This window comes from Homo sapiens, chromosome 6, assembly GCF_000001405.40.
Source record: "Homo sapiens chromosome 6, GRCh38.p14 Primary Assembly".
Classification (NCBI taxonomy): Eukaryota; Metazoa; Chordata; class Mammalia; order Primates; family Hominidae; genus Homo; species Homo sapiens.
Genome location: NC_000006.12, coordinates 65,227,046 through 65,250,872, shown reverse-complemented (window position 1 = coordinate 65,250,872; position 23,827 = coordinate 65,227,046). Strand labels below are relative to the sequence as shown.

Below are 23,827 nucleotides of genomic sequence, written 5' to 3'. Positions count from 1 at the left end.
AGTCTTTCCACAGAGAAGCAAATTCTAACTTACGGTAGATTAATTTTTTTTTTGGATGTTACTGTTTTGGTTCTTTAACTTGCAAAAGGATATATCTCTTGGACTTAAAATATCTATCTCTTATTTTGATAATATACATGGGTTTATATTCAAATTTGGTCATCTGTATTGTTGAAGTTTTTCATTATGAGAATATTTTTATAATGTCATTTTATCTCCTTGAGAATGTTTTTTGAGGCCAGGTTCTGAATATGGTTGGAAGTAAGTTGGGATAAAAATAGAACAGAGTTAATTTTTAGCTTTAATTTAGTGGTGACCTTGGAAGTCAGCTTTATTAAGGTACTGTTAGATTTCTTCTGAGAATTTTTGGTGAACAAAATCTACTCTGCTCACTAGTAACCCCAAGAAGATCCATAAAAGATCAGTGGTTTGTTTTACAGGAGCTGCCTCATAAATATAGGAGAATACCAACTGATAGTGTCTCTTCCCCTCAGCTAATAAGGGTAGACACTTAATAGGTATAACCTAGACTTATTTTTTTTTAGCCAAATGAACTTAAATAGAAAAATGTATAGACTATGAAAGAATATTTATTTAAACTTTGCTGGATTTTCCAGAACACTCTCCAGACTTCATCATGCATATAATAGAGCATAGTTTTAGTATGTTTGATTTGATGCTCTTAACCGAAAGCAACTATGGTATCATCATCCATTCAGTTGCACTTGACAAAATTTTAATCTAAGTATCATCTTCAATTTCAATATTTTCCACATATTCCACATACTATCTGCCAGCACATTTTTTGAGCCTTGCTTCTCTAATATCTCTGAAACTTGACCTCTTCCATTACGTTTGTTAAATCCGGGCCCAATGCTTGAACCTCTCTTACACGGATTTCTGCACAATCTTCTGGTATAGCGGGTCTCTTCACCAACAACACAAGTATTGAAACCACGTATTGCCAGTGATGCTTCCAGTTATTAACCTTTTTTGCTGCAGTACCTTGTTTACCTTGCTTATCATTAATGAAGTAAGTGCTTTTAAGTTGTACATTATTTCTCCTGTGGGCAATCTTTTATAATTTATCTTCTCCACTGCATCTTTCATTCAATGGTTTTCTCTATATTATGACAGAAGCAGCATATGTACTTTAAATTCAAAGAAAAAAGTGTTTCACACAATAAATGTGTTTTAATGCTTGCTTTGTAAATTTCCAACAATTTTTATACATTATTTTTGTGTTCGCAGACAAGAGACTTCTAATTCTGTTTTTCTTTTCTTGATAGTGTTTAAACCACTTTTACCATAGCAAAAAAAAAAAAGGATATTTATGTAATTGTTTGTGGATTTAGGCCTTTTGCTATTTAAGTGAGAATTTTTCCAATAAAATTCTAACTCTTTAGGGTTGTTTGGTGACCTTGCATGAAATACTGGACTGGGAGTTGCATGACCTGAGATGTTTCTCAAAAATTTTGGTTCTCTTCATTGTCAAGATGCTTAATTTTGGAATGTCTTATTTATTTTCACGGCTTTATACAGCCATTCACATCTTAAAACACAGTGTGTAAGTTCTGATTTATCATTAATGAAACCAGGTAAATATTAATATTTTAAATTGTTGTGATTTTGAGCTTTTGGGGGTTGGTGTTCATCATATTAGACTACTATTCTTCATAATATGGTTTAGATAGTTATACTCTGAAAAATATCAGTGATGCTATTTTCTTTTATACTTTGTTCTTATTACTCTCATTTTATTCCACAGTTTGTTCATGTTGGTTTGAGTTTTGTTTTTTTTTTTTCACTTGTCAGTTTTATAGGACACATTTTACTAAACCCAGAAAATATTCTTAAATCAACTTAATTGGATATGCTCAACATCACAGTATACTGAAATTAACAGTCTGAGCTCCACAAAGGAGTCTGGCAGCCATTGGCAAACTTGCCTATTATAGGACCTCCTATTCTTCTTCAGGATAACTTGTACACAGCATACCATGAACACATACATATCAATCTGAATATTACACACTTTAATGAAAATGAGTCCATGTTTTCTTATGTTTAGATAAATATGCATATAAATGGAAGTTCTAATATTTTCTTCCTGTACATGCACAACAAATCTATTTTTTTTTCTGCCTTGAATATACGTCACCCTAATTTGTGGACTGATAGACAGCTAGGAGATATTATTTACAGTTAAATGTGATTTCTAATTTTTTCATTTTTTCTTTTATTCTAGATGATTTATTTCCTACAGAATTTGATTGCTATTTCAATTAACTCATTATTATTTTGCTACATAGGGTAACCAGAAACACAACCACAGGCTCTAGGCAAACAAAACTTGCACACATTGCTGATCACTAAGCTATCCCCATGTACTCTATCATTTCACTGTGGGGAAAATATGACATATGTCATTTCTTCTGCATTGAACTGTCTCTCAACAAGCTCACTTCCATGCACCCCCATCTCCTCTTCCTGACAGGTCTGCCAGAATGTTTGATGACTTATTGTTACTATTACATTTATCCTGCATCATCAATAAGCAAGTCCTAGGAAGGGAATACAGATTAATTCACTAAATGATACATTGATACATTCTCAGTGTTATTGCCTATTACTCAAATGTTAATGCAATGGTTATGGCAATCTCAATGTAAAATAAAATATTTCTGACTTAATAATAGTAGGCCATTAAATCACATAAATGTCTGAGAGCTCTCTGGGGAGTGTTAAAATTGAGCAGCCAAAACCAGCTGAGGAGGAAAAAAAACCAACAACAATCTGAGTATCTTTTGCTTTTCTTTCTTTTAAATAATCTTTTTTATAGAGTAAATTGTAGGGGAAATTATAAGCAATCTAAAATCACAAATGTATGGTCTTTAATGTATTATACAGGTTTTATAAAGGCCCATTTTTTTCCAAAATAAGCAAAATAAAGAGAGTCACAAACTATTTAATTGTAAAGCCTAAAGATAACCTTGGTCAAATTTTATTCTGATACTATTTTGAATTATTTTCTTTCCAATATAGAACAATATTAGTGACTGAACACCCAATTTTAAAGAAATAATTGTGTATAGGCTATGGACAAAAATAATTTGGAGTGATTCTAGCCAAAGTGAGACAGGAAACATAAAGAAATGTAATGCATTCTAATCCTTCTATTTTCTTCTGTGGTTTACAAATTTGCCAAGGTGTCTGGTAATTAGGTTAGAATGCATAGTGAGATCATTGAAAGAGAATATGTTTTCTCCCCTATTTACTTTATTCTCTCTTCAAATAATTATGAGTTCTTGTCATATACTAGGCAATGTTCTCTGTATTGGAGGTGTAACAGAAGATAAAACAATGCCTGTTAGGGTTTCACTCTGCTAGAGCAACAAATAGTAGGCAAAACAATGAATATTTATATATTAGGAATAAAAAGATGTTACTGAGAAAATACAGCAGGGTAAAAGATTAGGTATAGGAATGGGTCCTATCTGATAGAAAGTTATCAGAGGAAACTTCTCAAATAAATTGACATTGAGAAGTGATCTGAAGGAAGTGAGATAATGAGAAAATTGATATCTGGAAGGAAAGACACATAAACAATCCTTGAGTCAAGTGAGCATATGTTGTATTCATGAACCTGAAAGGGACTATATGGTTGGACCCGAGTGAGCAAGAGAGAGTGATAAGAAAGATGATTATCATGGACCGATACAGCTTATTCATTTGCCCCTGTCTCCAGTTTACTCAGGCCTTAGTTAAAACAATAATGAATCTGCTTTGAAATACATATTTTAAAACATAAAATCACCCTATGAACTATTTGTTTATTTTTTACTTTATCACCTTATATTGTTCTTCCATGAGACCTGGCATTGAGAGAACAATACCAGAAATAGAGATCTTTTTTATTCTCTTCATTTCTGAGTTTATTCTAGGCTTTTCATTTAGCCTTATGTTTGTTACTTTAGGAATGTACTTGAAAATATGTTTGTCACAAGGACACAGTGAATGAAAAAGCAAGAACTGAAATAATAGCTTTTAAAGATGGCCTGCAAATGGATTATCTGCTTAGCCATTCTTTGTTGTTTTAAAAGTTTTTGATTGAAGAACGTATGAAAGAGAGTGCGAGCGAGCACGCATACATGTGTGTGTGTATTTCCAATCTGAATACCAGAAGACTACAGTAAAACATACCGTGTTTCAGATGTATTTAGAAAAGGCAATATGAGCAAATGGGAGGATATATTAAAGGCAGGAAAAAGACAGGAAAAAAATATTACTATGGGGGGCTCTTTTCCCAGTGACCACCAAGCTTCTGTTAGGCACATTGAATCCTTGTGGATATACTTGTAATAATGGATAGAAAATTAAATTGAAATCTAAACCCAAATAAAGTTCTCTTAATTTGATTTTGTCCTCTGGCATACCATAAGACATGAATAATTAAATAATGTTACAAATTAACAGCCTTTCCTTGTGTTATTCAACAAACTTTTATTTGCATTCAGTCTTCTTGATGTATGTGTACTTGTCCCTATACATTTTCATATTCACAATATAGGCAGAAAAGTCACCTATACTCTCTGTATGTCAGTTTCATCAACTGCAAACTGAGAATGATAGTAATTACAACATAAGGTGAGTATAGGAATCAGTGCAATAATCTATTCATAGTGCTTAGTACACACACTGACACATAGTAAACACACCATGTGATAATTATTGCTATTACATAGTACCATTTAGGAACAACCAAAATAAGATTGAATGAGAAAAATCATTTTGTGTATCTTTCACATTGCTATTTTGCATTTGATTGCCCTTCCTGTCTACTGTACTAGGGAGAAATAATAGGAATATAAGGAAAATAGAAAGACAACAAGGTTGGTGGGGCAGGTTCCAGTTATGTCAAGGGCAGTATTCCCCAAAGTAGATTTTTCAGAAATTAAAAATAAACTAAATTATATTGTTAAATAGATTCTATATTATTTAGCTCTTTGAGAGATCTTCCCCCCATGGCCAGAAAAAGAGGCCTCAGTGTCACTGAGATGATAACACAAAACAAACACCAGAAACAACAAAAAAGTTGTTGTTTATCCAAGATTTTTCAAATAAAACAAGCTATAAATATCTAAACATCCTGCTAGTACCTCAATTTTTTTTTTTACTTTTTTTAAGGAGAAGGTGCAATTAGATTAAACTGAACACTAGTAAAAATGTAATTTAGAAGAAAAACAACAGATTTTGTTATCCTGAAAACCTAGTTCAGGGAAACGCACAAGAACTGAGAAAGAACATCAATATAAAGGCCTTGATATGAGAATAATAAGCTGAGGTGGCAGCCTTTTTTTGAAGTCAGAGCTATTGTATGATCTTTGTGTTATACAATTACATGTATGGGACTTACATGTAACTTAATAATTATGAATGAAATACAGTTTTAATTTGCCTGAATCCTGGATTGCAATTATCCATCTTAGTGCTATTTTTTGAAGCATAGATAAATAAAAACTGATTACATTTTTGGAAAAATAGGTAATCTGTAGAGAAAATCAGTGTACTTGATGTATCCCTCCCATTGCATATTTCCTTCTCAAACTGAACAGAATCAGAGAATTCCATTTGCTAGTTACGTTTTCTTTATTTACATATTGGTTTGTGAGCATGCTCTGAGCTGCTGCAATAGGTTTAAGTCCACATTTTAGCAACACCATATGTAATATGCTGGGATGATTCTAAATATCTGATAAACTTGTATTGAATTCTAGTACTGTTCAAAATGACAGCAAAAGAATATTCTAATAGTTAAAACATTTAATAATGTGAGCAGCAGTACAATTTTCACCATTTTATGTCCTATTTGTTTCAAATATTTAAATTAACTTTGTGCTAAAATAGTGGAACTACAATAAGCCAAATCTTTCGAATTAGACATTAGTGTGTCTAAAGATCATAAATATAGAAATAAAAATAAACACATTTTTGGATGGTATTTCAGTATAACTTTGGTGAAAGATAGATGCCATGGTAGAAATAAGTTCGGGCCAGGCGCGGTGGCTCAAGCCTGTAATCCCAGCACTTTGGAAGGCCGAGGCGGGCGGATCAGCAGGTCAGGAGATAGAGACCATCCTAGCTAACACGGTGAAACCCCGTCTCTACTAAAAAAAAAAAAAAATACAAAAAATTACCCGGGAGGGCTGGCGGGCGCCTGTAGTCCCAGCCACTCCGGAGGCTGAGGCAGGAGAATGGCATGAACCCGGGAGGCAGAGCTTGCAGTCAGCAGAGATCGCGCCACTGCACTCCAGTCTGGGCGACAGAGCGAGACTTGGTCTCAAATAATAAATAAATAAATAAATAAATAGTTCGGATAATTAAGGTAGAAATTAGGGTATAAGTATAATTATTTTAGAACAGCATGATTCTTTTGAATAAGAGAACAATAGGAACAAATACATTATTTAGGGAGACATTTCTAGTAGGTTTTAAAGAATAACTTATGTGCTAATTTAATTTGTAGGTAAAGTGAATTTTAGTTACCCCTAGCCAATCTTCATGGACAAATTGTATCAGCAATTAAACTTTATTAGGGAAAATAAGATAAAATAATTTGCGTGAAACGACTAAAAGAAATATCGTACCAATGACCTCTTCTAATAAATACTATTCACAAAAAAAGTTGTATAATCTGTTCATGTGTCCTTAAAAAGACAAAAACAAGCCTAACTGGAAAATCTCCAAGCCCCTTAGGGAGAGGCCTCAGCCCTCTTATATTTCAACTCTAACCATTGCCATTTATCAGAGTGAGCGTTCAATAGGCCCAGCTCAGATGAAGGGATGGAGAGAAGAGGACTATGACAATGATAAAGAGTGAACTTATCTTTATTGGTTCAAAAACTATTTTATTTGGAATACAACTAGCAAAATGGAAAAAAATACAAACTTTAAAAACAAATTACTTTGAAACAGATTCTTAGTCACCTAGGCTAGAGTTCAGTGGCACAATCATAGCTCACAGCAGCCTCGAACTCTTGGACTCAAGTGATGCTCCTGCCTCAGCCTACAGAGTAGCTAGGATTACAGGCCCGTGCCACCACACATGGCTATTTTTTTTCTTATTTTTCTGTAGAAATGGGGGTCTCGCTATGTTGATTGGGCTAGAAAAGATTTCCAAAATGGTGGTAAGAGTTGCTCAGCATGTCCTCTCACCAGAGGAACATAAATTTAACTGCTGAAAGTTATTTATAAAAAAAGAAAAAAATAAAGTCTTTGACATTGTCTTAAATGGCATACAAAAAAGGGAGAAACACCTATTAGAACCTTATGGTAATCAGAGACAAGAGTCTGTGGTATTTGAGTCTTGATTGTTCCCTTAATTCCTCCCTCATTCCCACCCAACAAAGCGTCACAAAAGCTCAGAAGCTCCAAAGCAAAGAAGTTCCTTCACCCCCCAACTCCTATTCTAGGACTACAGTTTCATTCTGAGAGGGGCAGGCCACCAGTAACTCTGATCTCTGCTGCTGTGATAGTTGACAGTATAGTGTAGCCATATCTTGTATATGTACTAGAAAACCAAAATCTTAATGGCTAACTTTATTGTGACATTTGTTTTATTGTGATGATCTGAAATAGAACCCACAATATCTTTGAGGTATACCTGTAAAATCAAAAGTACAAATGATATGATAAACACACAAAAAAACAAGTGAATGAATAAATGAATGCACATCAAAATATGCCTGACAAAATTAAGTTTATTTTTTGTTGCAAATCAGTTTATTTTTTGTTGCAAATCATATTGTTATATACAATGTAAGAAAACACTTGTTAATCATGTATCTGGTAAGGTACTTTTAGCCAGAATTTATAAAGAACACTTACAATTCAATAACAATACAGAAATAAACACATTAAAATATGAGCAAAGCATTTAAGTAGTTACCTCTTCAAAGAAGACAGCAGTGGCCTGTAAGCACACAAAAATATACTTGACATCATTAGTCATTTAAAAAAAAATACAAGTCTAAACTTGAAAACGCTACCACTTTACAACCACTAGATCAAATATAATAAAAATATAGACAATAATTTTCCATTAAGTTGTAGAGAAATGGGAACCCTAATATGTTGCTAGTGAAAATGTAAAATCATCCAGCAATTTTGGAAACTATTTTGGCAAGTCCTCAAAATGTTAAATATAAATTTATCATATGACCCATCAATTCCAATTCTTCCATGTTCTGAAGAAAATTGAAAATATGTATCTACAGAAAAGTTGTCCAAAAATGTTACAGTAGCATTAATAAAAATTTAAAAATGGAAATAATCCAAATGTCTATCAACTGAGGAATGGATAAATGAAATATGTTACATCTGTACAATGAAAGATTAGATGGCGATACAAAGGAATGACATACTGACGCATGCCACTAAATGGACTAACCTTAAAAAATTATGCTAAAAACAAGACAGTCACAAAGACAACATATTGGTCATTACCATTTATAAGAAATATACAGAAAAGGCAAATGCATAGACACAAAATACATTATTGATCACCTAGAGCAGATGGGGAGATGGGAACTGAATGCTAATAGATTCTTTTCCTGGTTAAAAAAAAAATTCTAAAATTAGATTTGTGATGATGGTTGCACAAATTTCTAAATATACTAAAATCACTGAATTGCAAACTTTAAATGGTAAAGTGTATAGTTCGTGAATTATATCTCAATATAGCTGTTTAAAAAATACATAGAAATTTTACACATAAAGCTATTTTTTAATAGTGTAATGGAGTCATTATACAGGTAATCAAATTAAATGTTCATTTAAAAACTTATCTGTAGGAATTTTGCTGGAATTTGCACAATATTTTCTCTAATTCACTATTTTTAATATTCTCATTTTTTAATTGACAAATATAAATTGTATATATAATACATTGTTCTGAAATACACACACGCATGCACACATTAGGAATAGCTAAATTGACTCGTTAATAAGTGTTAGGGAAGCAGAAGGAGTCAATATTCTGCCTAAGACAATCCCTAAAGTACAAGCTAACACCTGATTTACTCTTTCTCTGTCCAAGCAAGGTTAGATAATCACATATAGAACTTTAAGAAATACCCTCCAACTTTGTAGGAAAAATCAAGTGTGAAACCATAAATATGGTACATAGGAAGGGGAGAGTTATTTTCTGGACTCCTTTAACTGATAAGCAAAGATACAATATATCATGGATGGAGGCTCCTGACATACCAGTTTTATCAAAGCAGAAATTGCAGATATAAATTATTATAAATAATTACAAAATGAAATTTTTGTAAAAATTAGACCAGAGGGAAAAGAAAATTAGGTGGGTCTTGATTTTAAAAAAGTGGGTGTTGGAGTGGATTATGAGTTTTGATTATGCATCCAGCTCTGAAATGTTTATAAACTTGTTTGCTACTGACTCTTTAGTGCAGAATAGAAACAGAATAAAAGCCTATACTTAACACAGGGGCACAATGGAAAATGTTGCTATGCGTGTAACTGTAACTCAATCATTATATGTAACAGACAAGAAAAGAGAAAACTAGCAAAGAGGACTTTCATAAATAAAATGGTCACTTAAATTCAAGTAAGTTTTATGAGTATATCTATTTCGTGATTTTACTTTTAACATATTATTTTAACAATGTGAAAGGAAGAAGACTGAATCAGTGAAAAATAACTATATATAAGATCTTCCATTTTTATGTAAGTCTAATTTCAAAATATTTAACAAAACCAGTCATTTTCTACCATGTAAAGTGAAATTAGTAAGTATTTGTATTTAAAATGAAATAATTAGAAAAATATTTATGCATTTATTTATGTTAAAATGTTTTAGGAAAACACTGTCAGGAATTTCAAGTAGATATTTCAGAGGAAAAATCTGTTATAAAATTGTGTTGCCAAGAAAGGGGAATGCTTATACACTGCTGATGGGAATGTAACTTTATTCAGCCACTATGGAAAGCAGTTCAGAGATTTCTCAAAGAACTTCGAACAGAAATACCATTCAAACCACCAAACCCATTACTGGATATATATCCAAAGGAAAATAAATTGTTCTACTAAAAAGACACATGCAATTGTATGTTCATTGCAGCACTATTCACAACAACAAATACATAGAATCAACCTAGATACCCATTAATGGTAGACTGGATAAAAAAATGTGGTGATATATACCACAGAATACTATGCAGCCATAAAAAAGAACAAAATCACATCCTTTGCAGTGACATGGATGTAGCTGGAGGCCACTGTCTTAAGGTAATTAACAGCAAAACACAAAATCAAATACCACATGTTCTCACTTATACATGGAAGCTAAACATTGAGTACACATGGACATAAAGATGGGAACAATAGAGACAGGGAGCTACTAGAGAGGGTTGGGAGGGAAGGAGGTGGGCAAGTGCTGAAAAAACTACCATTAGGTACGATGTTCAGTACCTGGGTGACAGGATCATTCATACCTGAAATGTCACCATCAAGCAATATGCCCATGTAACAAACCTGCAAGTGTACCCCCTGAACCTAAAATAAAACTTGAAATTTAAAAAAATCAGCCGGGCATGGTGGCTCATGTCTGTAATCCCAGCACTTTGGGAGGCCAAGACGGGTGGATCACAAGGTCAGGAGATCAAGACCATCCTGACTAACATGGTGAAACCCCGTCTCTACTAAAAATACAAAAAATTAGCTGGGTGTGGTGGTGGGCGCCTGTAGTCCCAGCTACTTGGGAGGCTGAGGCAGGAGAATGGTGTGAACCCAGGAGGCAGAGGTTGCAGTGAGCTGAGATGGCACCACTGTACTCCAGCCTGGGCAACAGAGTGAGACTCTGTCTCAAAAAAAAAAAAAATCAAAATATATATGCTACAAATACATGGATTTTTAAAATCAGATATGTTTTCTGTACAGGTGTTTAATGTTAGTTTCTTAACAGATTTTTTTTCTGCTTATAGTACAAAGTAAAACATTCATCAGGGTAGTAATTTGAGGTTTAGAAAGTTACCCATTAGAATTACATGTATGGTATTAGTATTTTGTATTATACAACTGAGGTAAACATAGCCATGCATTTAATATTATTTGTCCTTTCACAAATAAATATGTATATCTTAATTTCAAAAACCATTTTCTTTAATATCAACTCTTGTTGCACCCAGCTTCTAAACCCACAAAATTCTGAAGATTTTCAAATTTGTTCATTTAATGAGGTTCTGTTACATTTCTGCTTATATCTGCTTGTTTATCTGGAGTCATCTTAATAGTAGGTGAAAAAAATATTAAAGGCAAAAATTTTAAAAGAATTTTTAAAATCCTAGAGTGGGCATTAGCCAATTGAATAGAATAAATATATGAAAATTTACATTATGTATTTAGCAAAGTTTATACTTTCAGATAATTTTTATATATTAAACTAGCCTTTAGTTAACAAAAATATCCAGATTATAATTTGTACCAAGATATTTTTGTAAACCTTATTGGTCACATGTGAAGGGTGATTCTTGTCTATAATTTATTGATTCATTTATGTCAAAATAATATATAGAAATGCTTTATTAATTTAAAAATTGTGGTAATTGTTATTTTTACGCTCTCATTTCAAATAAATGATTAGGAGACAATGAGCATCACCCTGTGAAGACAGGATATGTCTTGTTTTGGCCTGTGTCTATGAGTTTTTCATTCTGCAGACTAATTTTTACACATTTTTTAAACCAGAAATGTAATGGAGATTAAGGGCAATAAAATGGAGATTACCTGACAAAATATTTTAGCCAAGCTCAATTTTAGTAAGCCTATGATATTCTCAGCTCTTATTTTTTGAACTATAATGAGAAGAATATGGCAGCTGTTTGTCATCCTATCATTCTTCCAATAACTTTTTTAAGCATATTAATATGATTGTAATTTTATATTAATCATGTAACTGACTTGTCATTGTAGCATTTGTTCATCTTCAGTTATGTTACCAAAATTTGGGTGTTTTATTTATTGGTATTTCTAATACTTTTAAATGAAATTTTGTGGAACAGGACATAAAAATATTTGGCTATTCCTACCTTTTGCCATTGAATAAGATTTAAAACCAGCAATATATGGAAAGGTTTTGCTCTGAATTTTAATTTTCTTTTGAGAGGAGTTCAAGAATGTAACCATAAATTATGATTATCATGTTAGTCATAATAGCAATAACAACATTATGGTGGATCATTATTTTTTAAAAGTGCTTTCGTACACTTTATTTTTAGTTCTGTCTCTCCCTCTCTCACACACAAAGAATAGAAAAGGCATTAACTTCTATTTCAGAAATAGAACACTATGATTAAAGAGGTCTAATAATTTGGGTATGATCACAAAATTACTAAAAATCAAACCTAGGATTCAAACCCAGCGCTTCAGAGATCAAAATGAGATAACTTTTCAATATAATCATGATGATGCTTTGGATTATTTCTTCTGACAAGTGACAGTGAAATATTAATTGAAAATGGATAAAAAGTGATTCTAGTATTATTGATTCATGTATTGGTGTGCCTATCTTGAATATTACATATATTATATATATATTATATTTTTAAAAGGATTATATACCTTGTTTGGCAATTATCTTTACATAATAGTATTTGAGAGTAAAAAATATAACAGGAATTAATAGAAAATGAATAAAAGTATAGCAAACTACTTTTTGTATAATATAGTATTCACATTGTTAGACTTTAAAGTTCTGAAATCAAACTTTGGTAAAAAAGAAAAATGTTTCCATCTATATACATATACCTAAAGCCATTACTATGAACAAATCTTGGTAATTGAAAGAGAACTGTACTTTATGGTTTTACATGACCATTTTGTGATCATTTGAAACACAAATCAGTAATTTTTACTGTCTTAATTTTTACCATTTTTCTTTTGCCAAAATGGGCCATGATTCACTGTAATCAGTTAAATGTTCATTCTTTTACCAAATACACTGTATGATATCAATTTCTTGCATACCCATACATCATTCCATCTATAATTACTAGTTCAAAAAATGAAGAATTTGTATAACAGTATTTCAATGTTAGCAATGGGTCCTAAACAGCAGATCCTGCTTATGAACTCATTTAAATCTCATAATAACCTTAGATGGACATACCATTATTTATCAGAATCGTAAATGAGGAACAGACACCAAAAGCATAACTGTTTGCCCATGCAATTATACAAATGTGGTTTATAGCACTACCACAATCCTTGATTGATTGATTGATTGAGACAGGGTCTTACTCTGTCACCCAGGCTGGAGTATTTCTTTATTTTCAGTTTTTCCTACTGTCACTTCTTTAATCCCCTTTTGCCTAAATGGCACAAATCCCTCTCCTTTTAGATATCTGAGATCAGTGTGGAAGGTCTACTGGAAATCTGCATTCAGTTATAATGATACAAACCTATACTATTCAAGTCTCTAGAGAATGTTCTAAAATGTAATGATATTTCTAAAACATTCCTTATACTTTGTAGTTCAAGTAGTGTCCTAAGTGTTCATGATGATAGACTTTATAAGAGGCCCCTGACTTGTATATGTTTGAATAGTATCTGGGTATATGCAAAAACAGTTATAGTGAGCAAAGTGCAGAGCTAATTTTTATACAAATTTATTTGGCTTTCGTTTATTCGCGTAAAGGCATATGCTTACTCCTGGAAAATGTAGATGTATTACCCAGGTTTACCCAGTTCTCTATTATGTGCTTATATTTTAGATTTTCATTTTGTATTTAATATAAATGTAAAAACGTGTTAATATATTCAAGTGAAAGAAAAAGAGCATAAACAAAATTGGTCTTCAGCACATCTACGACCTTATACCCAACTTAATCATTTTCAGTATATTCATTTTAATTTATGTTTTTGAACACTCACATAAGCAGAAACCACATTCATTGTATTGGCCAAAGAAAAGATAAAGAGAGATTTAATCTACAAATGCTTAGCTTGCATCAGGCAAAGATGAAAAGTGGTCCTAAGTTGCTGTGACGAAAGTTTCACAGTAATTAGCTTTGAGGAAAACAGTAAAATCTTTGCTTTATAGTCATAGTACATGAAAGTTTCTACCTATTAAATGTAAAAGAAACTGTACCACTGAAGTCAGTACCATAAAGGTGTTATAAGCATATATTTGGTAGCCACAAACCATCATCTGCCAAAATGATACTGTTATTTATTTTTTTTTTATTTGAGACAGAGTCTCACTCTGTTGCCCAAGCTGGAGTACAGTGGTGCAATCTCGGCTCACTGCAACCTCCACCTCCCAGGTTCAGGAGATTCTGCCTCGGCCTCCCTAGTGGCTAGGAAAACAAGCGTGCACCACCATGCCCGGCTAATTTTTTGTATTTTCACTAGAGACGGGGTTTCACCATATTGGGCAGGCTAGTCTTGAACTCCTGACCTCGTGATCCACCTGCCTTGGCCTCCAGAAGTTCTGGGATTACAGGCATGAGCCACCGTGCCAGACCCATTTTACGGGTTTTATATTTACTTTGTAATTTTAGGTTATGGTGTAATTGAGTATGTAAGCCTAAGAAATGTATTCCAGTACCTTAGAATATGACCTAATGCCTGAAGTTTTGTACATTTTAAGTAACATAATGGAAATTCCGGTAATATTAGGATCCTCAAGATATTTTTCCCTTTAAAGAGTAATTAATCATATGTAAGAAATGCTGATATAATCCAAACTAACAAATTAATGCTACTAATAATATTTATTACAAATTACTATAAATATTTTACTTTATTACATAAGAGGTGCACATAATTCAAAAATCAAGGAAATTTTTCCTAAATAATCTAACATGTAAATTAGCAGAATCACATATGTAAGCCTAAGAAATATATGCCAAAATTTTTGTACATTTTAAGTAACATAATAGAAATTCTGGTAATATTAAGATCCTCAAGATTTTTTTTCCCTTTAAAGAGTCATTAATCATATGTAAGCAATGCTGATATAATCCAAACTAACAAATTAATGCTACTCATAATAATGATTATTACAAAGTACTACAATGTATATATTTTGCTTTGTTACTTAAGAGGTGCACACATAATTCAAAAATCAAGGAAAATTTTGCTAAATAATCTAGAATGTAAATTACCAGAATCACATAATTTTGCCATCTTAAAATATTGAAGCTCAAACTCTGAAGATTAGCGACTTGTTCAGAGTGGCAAAAATTGTCATAAAGAGCTGGAATTACAATCTACATCACCTAATTCATGCTTCAATTTCCTACTGTAGCTGTCAGCTTGTACCTCTTGGCATTATGAACTATATAAAGGAGAAATATGATATGTGAAATAACTATAGAATAAAAATTGCCAAACCTTCATACCAACTACTTTTGTTATAGCTTTTTTCCTTATTGTGTCTTATGCAGTTTATCCACATATTTTCATTGCACATGTATACATCCAACTCTTCATAGTGTCATACATATTCCATTTATTTCAATTTACTTCCAGTAGATTAAATGTGGCTCAGTCACAGTACTATTAAGGATGACAACCTCTCTGCATATTTAAGAGAAACTTGAACAAAGTAAATCAGTTATACTATTTTCCATGTTGAAGAATGAAATCTTGACATCCTCTGTAATAGCACAACTACAAAATTCTCCACCAATATTTTAAGGCAGAACATCTAGCTTAGGCTCATATACTGAATATTTTCTTGCAATGCTAGCCAATGCATCTTGGTTTCTGTGACAATTTAATGCTGCAAAGATAAAACTTTAATGAACCTTAAAATATTCTTCACCCACCCCTAATATGGCTTTAGCCATACTGAACTCCTTTAGTTATTTTAACACATCATGCTCCAAATTCCTCTGTGACTTTATTCTATATTCTTACTTGCAGGCATTTTTACCCAATCTACTCCCAATTTATTAGTAAATTCCTGCAGAAATTTTAAAAGATCAAACGTCACTAGCTATGTAGTATCTTTAAATCCTGGAAATTCAATTAATGAGATTGTTTCTCTTTGGCATCAACATATCTCACAGAGGCATCTCCATATTATACAAACACTTTGTACATATTTATGCCTGCTAACTGACAATATAAATAGTATAGTTTGTGTTTCTTTTTAATATCTATCTGTTACATTGGATTATAAATACTTTGCATTCTGTGTGTCTTATTCATCTTGGCATTTCCAGTATCAACTGTAGTGATTGGTAAGAAAGGAGATGTTAAATAAAATCACAAATCAATTAATCTGATTCAAATTGGAAATGTGTTTTAATGCTGTAGAAATGATGGTGATCTTCAATTAGAGCTCCAAAGGCTACATCACTTCACAATATATAGAAACTAATGATATCTACATAGCCCTCACTGGTAGAGAAGAAGTTCCTCCTCAGGGATAGCAAGCAAAGAAATCTGAGACTTTGATTGCCTGTGGCCCAGGTCCCTGGTAATGTAGGAGTTCCTTGATAGAAAGAACAAACCAGAAAGACCAGGAAATAATAACACCACTTCCATCCACTGCTTACTCTTAGAGCCGGAGTACCACTTTGAGAAAAAATGGTTCCCTCCACCCAGCTCTGATGCTGTGGCAGGAGGTTCTGCCCACAGGAGAGGCTGGCCGTATGACAAAGAGCTCTGCAGATTTGTCTGAGATGACTGGGTTTACTTGGTACAAAAAGCATAGAATTCCATGCCTAAGGACACTATTAATAAATAATGAAGATCTTGGTGGGCAGTGACTAAGAAGAGGCTAGTAGACCCATAATATACACAGAACAACAGAGCAGCCGGAAATGTGATAGAATCAGGAAGAGAGACAGCCCAGGATGTCCCTTTGGAGATCACAGTCAACTCAGGGCTTCTGGAAGGCTGTGTGCATGTGCTGGGTTGCCCTCACTCAGGAGCAATCTGAGCAGGTCAAGGCATGAAAATGAAAACATTCTCCAAGCTACATGCAGACCCATCAACACAGGGTAGAAACCTCATAGACACAAGGAGCTTAAACACAACTTCTAGCAAAACAGTGACTGAACAGTTAATTATTCTGACATGGAGGTAGCTACTAGAGAAGCTAAACGTAAAGATAAAATAACACTTATCCTCAGCTTTCTGGAAGACTGTACATGCCCAACAAGGCTGCACCCTTTAAAGTACAATAAGAGAAGGAACCTCCAAGCTGGCAGTCTGTTGAATGTGAGACTGACATAAACTCCCTAAATAATGATTGCAGCCTCCAAGCCACACACACATATCCAACAGTAAAAGGGTAAAACTCCAACTGGCTAAGGAGAGCTTATGCAAAATGTTTCAACAATAAATAGCTATATTCTTCCTGGGACAACCTCTAGATATTAGACTCAAAGATTAAAAATAAGGGGAAAATATGATCAGGGAAAACACTGCAAGGAAAATATCCCTCACAGAGTTAATTCAGTCAAATCACTATGCAAACAAATGACCAAGCAAACGGCAGCAATAATAACCACTGCCAGATGGAGGGGTGGGTAATGTATTCATAGGTGCTACAACATATTACCGAAAATATCCCACTTGCAACAGAAATATATGACACATGCAAAGAAACAAGAAAATATGACCCATACACAGTGAAAAAGCAAACAAGAAAAACTGTCTTTGATGGGGCCTACATGGTAAATTTAGCCAAAAAAGACTTCAAAGCAGCTCTTAAAAACATGCTCAAAGAATTAAAGGACACTAAGATTAAATAAAGGATGGCATGATGACAATTTCATATCAAATGGAGAATATCAATAAGATACAGATATAAGAAATACAAAGGAAATTCTTTAATGAACTGAAATGAAAAATTCACAGGAGCAGACTAATAGTACTGACACATGTGACAATATTGATGGATCTTGAAAACATGCTAAGTGAAAAAGTCACAGTATCTATAATATTCCATTTATATGAAAAGTCTAGAATAGGCAGTTTATAAGTTGATTAGTGATTGCCTAGAACCTTGAGGGTTATTATGGGTCAAATTATCACTCCCCACCCAAATTCATATGTTGAAGTTCTAACTTCCAGTACCTTAGAATATGACCTAATTTGGAAATAGTATAATGTATTCTATATGGGAATGAAAACAGGCATTAGGTAAAAACAGAAGCTAAATCAAGTATGGACTTCAGTTAATAAATCACTATTTTCATTAATTGTGACAAATGCCAGATCTTAAGCTGTTAATAAGAGGAGAAACTGGGTGAGGGGTATATGGGAACTCGGTGCAATCTTTGTAACTTTTCAGCAAATCTAAAACTACTCAAACGTTTAAGCATGAGACTGAGGCATAAAAAAAGATTTTATCCTTATTATTATAGAGCATGTTAAGAAATTTGGACTTTAAGAATTTTGGAAAATAATTGAAAGATTAATTATAAGAAAGTAGTCACTTTTGAGGAGTCCATTAATACAGTAGATCACAGTGGTTTTAGGCAATATTTGTTCTCCGAAAGTACCACATGCGTGATTTGATGGGAAATCAAATATTACTTTTTTCTTCTCTGTAGTCATGTAGTAAGGATTTATATTTTAATTTTGGACATTATATCTGCACCCACAGTTCTGGTAGCTCCACCATGCAATGGTGCACAAATACAGAGACATAAACATAGACATATGCAACTTGGACTGATTAGGAATATGTCTCTTGGAACTTCAGAAAAGAGAAGGCTGAAGAAACTGTATATAATATAATGTATCATATCTTCTACAGACCTGCTTTTTTACTTACATAGTGTATTTTATAGATAAATATAGAACATTTTAAAAAGAAATATAAACACTTAGATATGGTCTTGCACACAATAGTGGCATTGCCTACACTGGCATATAGATTGGATTCACTAATTGCTATGTGAGTTTTCCAGCTTAATCTCAGGAGAAGCCTTTATATCTTTTTCAACCACAAGACTTGGGAACTATTCATACCACTACTTGCTTTCTCCTGATTTAGAGTGCCTTTTGTTTTTAAATCATATGACTGCATAGTTGCATATTTCTCGGTAACTAAGGATTTAAGGAATTATAAATATATCCCATGACTGGAGTCTTTCAAAGGAGATGATGTATTTTCACTAAGAGGATATCTATCAATGTTTCATTATTAAATTTAATTATTAAGCAACACTCCAGAAGAAAAACTTGCCTGTACCTATAACTTTCTCAAACCTTGATAGCACATTTATCCTTTGCTGTTCATCCATTTGTGTATTTATGGTCAAGGTGAAAAAAACTGAAATCTGTGATACAGACTTTATTGGCTTTGAGCCATCATGATGATTTTCTCTGCCAACACAATGTATTATTTCATAATTAGGTAAAGAGTCTCTCCCCAATCCTCTCTTTTAATAAAACACCACAGAGAGGGAATTTGAGCGACATAGAACAATTTTAGAATTTAACTGTTTTAATGAATGGATTTCATTCAAATAAATACATGCATATATTCATACACAATTGTGTGATTTTTATATATTTTATTTTTTCTGATCTAATACACAGAGAAATAAGCCAAAAATAATCATATGCAGGATATTATTGCTTAAAAAGCAACAGAAATTCAGATATATATGTCTGAAAAGAAAATATATATATATTTTCTTTATATATATATAAAATATATATATAAAAGTATATATATAAAAGTATATATATAAAAGTATATATATATAAATACATATATATAAAAGTATATATATATACACATATATATATATAAAAGTACATATATATATACTTTTAATTTTGGGGTACAAGTGCAGGTTTGTTACATAGGTAAACTAGTATCATGGAGGTTTGTTGTACAGATTATTGTATCACCCAGTTATTAAGCCTAGTATGAAATATATATTCACTTTTTGTTTTTCTTAAATACTGCCAGTAAAAGTAAAACATCACTTCACCTGTACAATTAAGAGCATGCCATGTAACACAATGAAATATTTTTTTCCCAAAACAATGATAGCTTTGACATGCATATTACTACTGCAAATTTTAAAATTTCTACTCATATAAAAGAGGGATATTCCAGACAAATTTCAGGCCTTACTCTCTGAAAAAAGATATGACTCAAAGAAAAATAATTGTCAACGTTGTAACTCAGGAGTATGTGAAAAATGAGGGGAGGCCCTCCACATGTGAGATAGGCCCATTGTTCAAATACAGACTCTCTAGGAAAAAAAAGACATGAAAATAAATTTTGCATTGTTGATAATTGCATTTAACCAAGACAGTAAATTTTTCTCTCTGAAAACATTTTTAAGGGACGAGGATTAGCAACTCATATTAAAGTTAAAAAGAGGTATTAAAATGTATGGCATTGTATAAAAATAATCTTCTGGGGGGAAAACTAATTGTATGCATGAATAATTGTATTATACATGGGTAATTGTATTAACACATTGACCTCATAGATGGTTGCTAAACCTGGACCAATCATTCTGGATGCTCTGCTATTCGCCAATTATTTTTATTTTTTTCTTTATTGGATTTTAAAATCTGTCCAGTTATGGAACAAAACACAGTGTAATCTAGGAGAAAATCACATGAAAGTAAAAAATGGCAAGAAATGTGACTCCTTCTGTTAAGGATTTGATCACTTAATTTATCTTTAGATTACTTCTATTGTGTTATTAGAAGAACAGTTGTTTAAACTGCAAGCTGTCTGTGATGGATTCTACCCTTTATTACTCAAGTGGTTATTGTATAAATATTCACTTTTCATAGTTCATTGACCCCTATACTTTCTAACAGTCTGTCAGCCATTGTTTTCTTTTCATTTCCCCTTATTACTTAAATGGTTGATTATTTTAGAAACATTCCCCTAAGACCCGTGGATTATTTATGTATGTGTCATAGATCTCTGGCAAGACCCATGTGCACTTTATTCTGCTTCTTCAACTGGGCAATTACACAAAACTGTATTACCTCACAATAAAGGAGAATTGTCTTGCAGTAAATGCAACATCTCATATCTAAAATGGACACAGCAAACTGTCCAGATATCACACTTGAGACTTCTCAGTTTCACTCATTGTCACTTTCTTCAACATTATGTTTTTTCACTTTTCTTCACCCTCCTCTGATTTCTGCAACTTGCCACCCAGCTCCAGTCTTAGAAAGAGTATAAACTCACTATCCATGAACTTCTCTCTCTTCTTTCAATCTAAAACCACACCCATCTGCACTCTTGTCTTCTCTTACATTAGAGAACCTTCTTTCTGTCTAATTTCCCGAAAGGGCTCCGGATTCTGCCACTTTTTTTTTTCTGTAACTTCGTTTATTAATAGTACATGTTATTTTCTATACAATTGACTTTTCTCCACCAATTTGGTCCTAAGAGCTTTAGGACCAAAAGCTCTTTTTTGTTCCATGCTCAGTTCTCTACTGTTATATAACACAAACAAAAACAACATCCTTGCTATGCTGTCTCCCTATAAATCTCTTGCTCAACGAAAAAGTTGTTTTCTAAAAATTACTGTCTAAAACCTGCTTCCTTTTTTTCTTTTTCTTTTTTGTTTATCTAGCCGCAACACTAGTTGTTCAAATGGTCCATATCTTGCTAAATACACTGGACACTTTCTAATCTTAATCTTTTAAAACATTTCAGCATTATCCAATGAAGCATTCTTTTCTTTTTAAAAGTCAATTCTGTTTATTTGGCTTCAGTGAAATTGTGTTGTCTTGGTTTTTCTTCTACCAGTTTCTTTGCTCAATTTTGTCTACTCTCAAGAATCTTCTTTCCTTATGGTTACTTTTAGGTCTATAATCCATTTTGTCTTAATTTTTGTATATCTTGCAAGGTATGGATTAAGACTGGCTCTTTCTTTTTTTGAAACAACAATCTGATTCTCCCAGCATCATTTGATAAAATGCTCTTTCCCACTGAATCGCCTTTACACTGTTGTCAAAATTAATTGACCATGTAACTAGATTATTTGTAGATTCTGTATTCTGTGTCATTAACAAGTGTGTCTTTCTCTCTTACCAATACCACCACTCTTGTGATTACTACAGCATTATAACAAGTCTCGAAGTCAGAGAGTGTTAGAACTCCAATTGTATTACTATTTTTTTCGTAGCATTTTCACATGATTTATAAAACCATCTTGCCTATTTCTATAAAATACCTGCTAGGATTTTCACTGGGACTATACTTAATCTGTAGATCAATTTGTGGAGAATTAATATCTGAAAGTATTGATTCAAATGGTAGGGTTTTCACCATGATTAAAAGCTGTTAGGATCAAATTGTTAGAGAAAAGCCAATAGTGTAAAAGAGGAAAAGTATTATTAATGATCCATGACCACAATATATCTATTTATTTAGATATTCTTTAATTTCTGTCAACAGTCTTTTGAAGTTTTAAATGTGTAGGTCTTGCATATTTTTGTCAGATTTACTATATATTTAATGTTACTGAAATATTATAACCATGTGGAACACATGTAATAGTTTCAGTATTTTTAATAGATTTAGTAGGATATTCCACATAGACAATTATGTCATTAGTCAATACTTTTATTTTTTCCTTTTCAATCTGAGTGCTTTTTCTGTATTTTCCTTGTCTTATTTCACCATTTAAAAACCTCCAGTACGATGTTGCATGGAAATGGAGAAAGTGGATATCCTTGTTTCCACATAGACTGCGCTAGCTATAGACTTTTTATGGATGCATCTATTTTTGAAAATTGTGTTAAAATATATGTAACATCAAACTTAACATTTTAACCCATTTTAAAACATATAATTCAGTAGTATTAAATATATTCACGTTGTTATGTGACCATCATCCTTATTCCTTACTAGAACTTTTTAATCATCCCAAACTGAAACTCCCTACCCACTAAACAATAGTCGCCTATTTCCCCCTTCCCACAGCCTCTGGTAACCACTCTTCTATTTTCTGTCTCTATGAATTTCAATTTATACATTATATAAGTAGAATCAAACAATATCTGTCCTTTTTTTGTCTGGCTTATTTCAATTAGCATAATGTTGTCTAAGTTCATTTATGCTGTATCATGTATCATAATTTCATTTTTTAAGATTGAATAATATTCCATTTTATGGCTATACCACATTTTGTTTATTCATTCATCAATGTATGGATATTTCAGATATTTAAGCTTTTGTCTATTATTAATAATGCTCCTATAAACATTAGTGTTAAGATACCTGTTTGAGTTCCTGCTTTCAATTCGTTTATTTATACCTAGAAGTAGAATTGCTTGATCATATATCAATATGATCATACATCAATTTTATGTCTTAATATTCTGAGGAACTGCCATATCATTTTCTACAGTGGCTTTATCGTTTTATACTTCCACAAGCAGTGCAGATAATTCTAATTATTTCATGTTCTTATATGTGTATTTTTAAATAATAGCCCTCCTAATAGACATAAACTGGTGTCTTCTGTTTTATCACCTCACAAAGAAAACTCATACCCAATTAACTGTTACTTCTCAGCCCCTTGTAATCATTAAACTTCTTTCCATCTCTGAATTTGCATACTCTGGACATGTCATATATTGTGGAATAATTCAGAAAATATGTCATATTCACATTCGAAATTCTTTCATGTTGCAACATGTATCAGTACTTCTTGTTTTTTTTTTTTTTTGGTTGTTGTTGTTGTTTTTCCCCTCAGCCTCCCGAGTAGCTGGGATTACAGACATGCACCACCACACCCAGCTAATTTTGTATATTTAGTAGAGATGGGATTCTCTATTTTGA

The 23,827-nt window shown here is 32.5% G+C and overlaps 1 protein-coding gene across 2 annotated transcripts in view; it reads left to right on the top strand.

The window, feature by feature from the left end:
* EYS (eyes shut homolog) overlaps positions 1 to 23,827 on the top strand; it is a 1,987,247-nt gene that overhangs the window by 456,354 nt on the left and 1,507,066 nt on the right. The gene's annotated exons all lie outside the window — the stretch shown is intronic.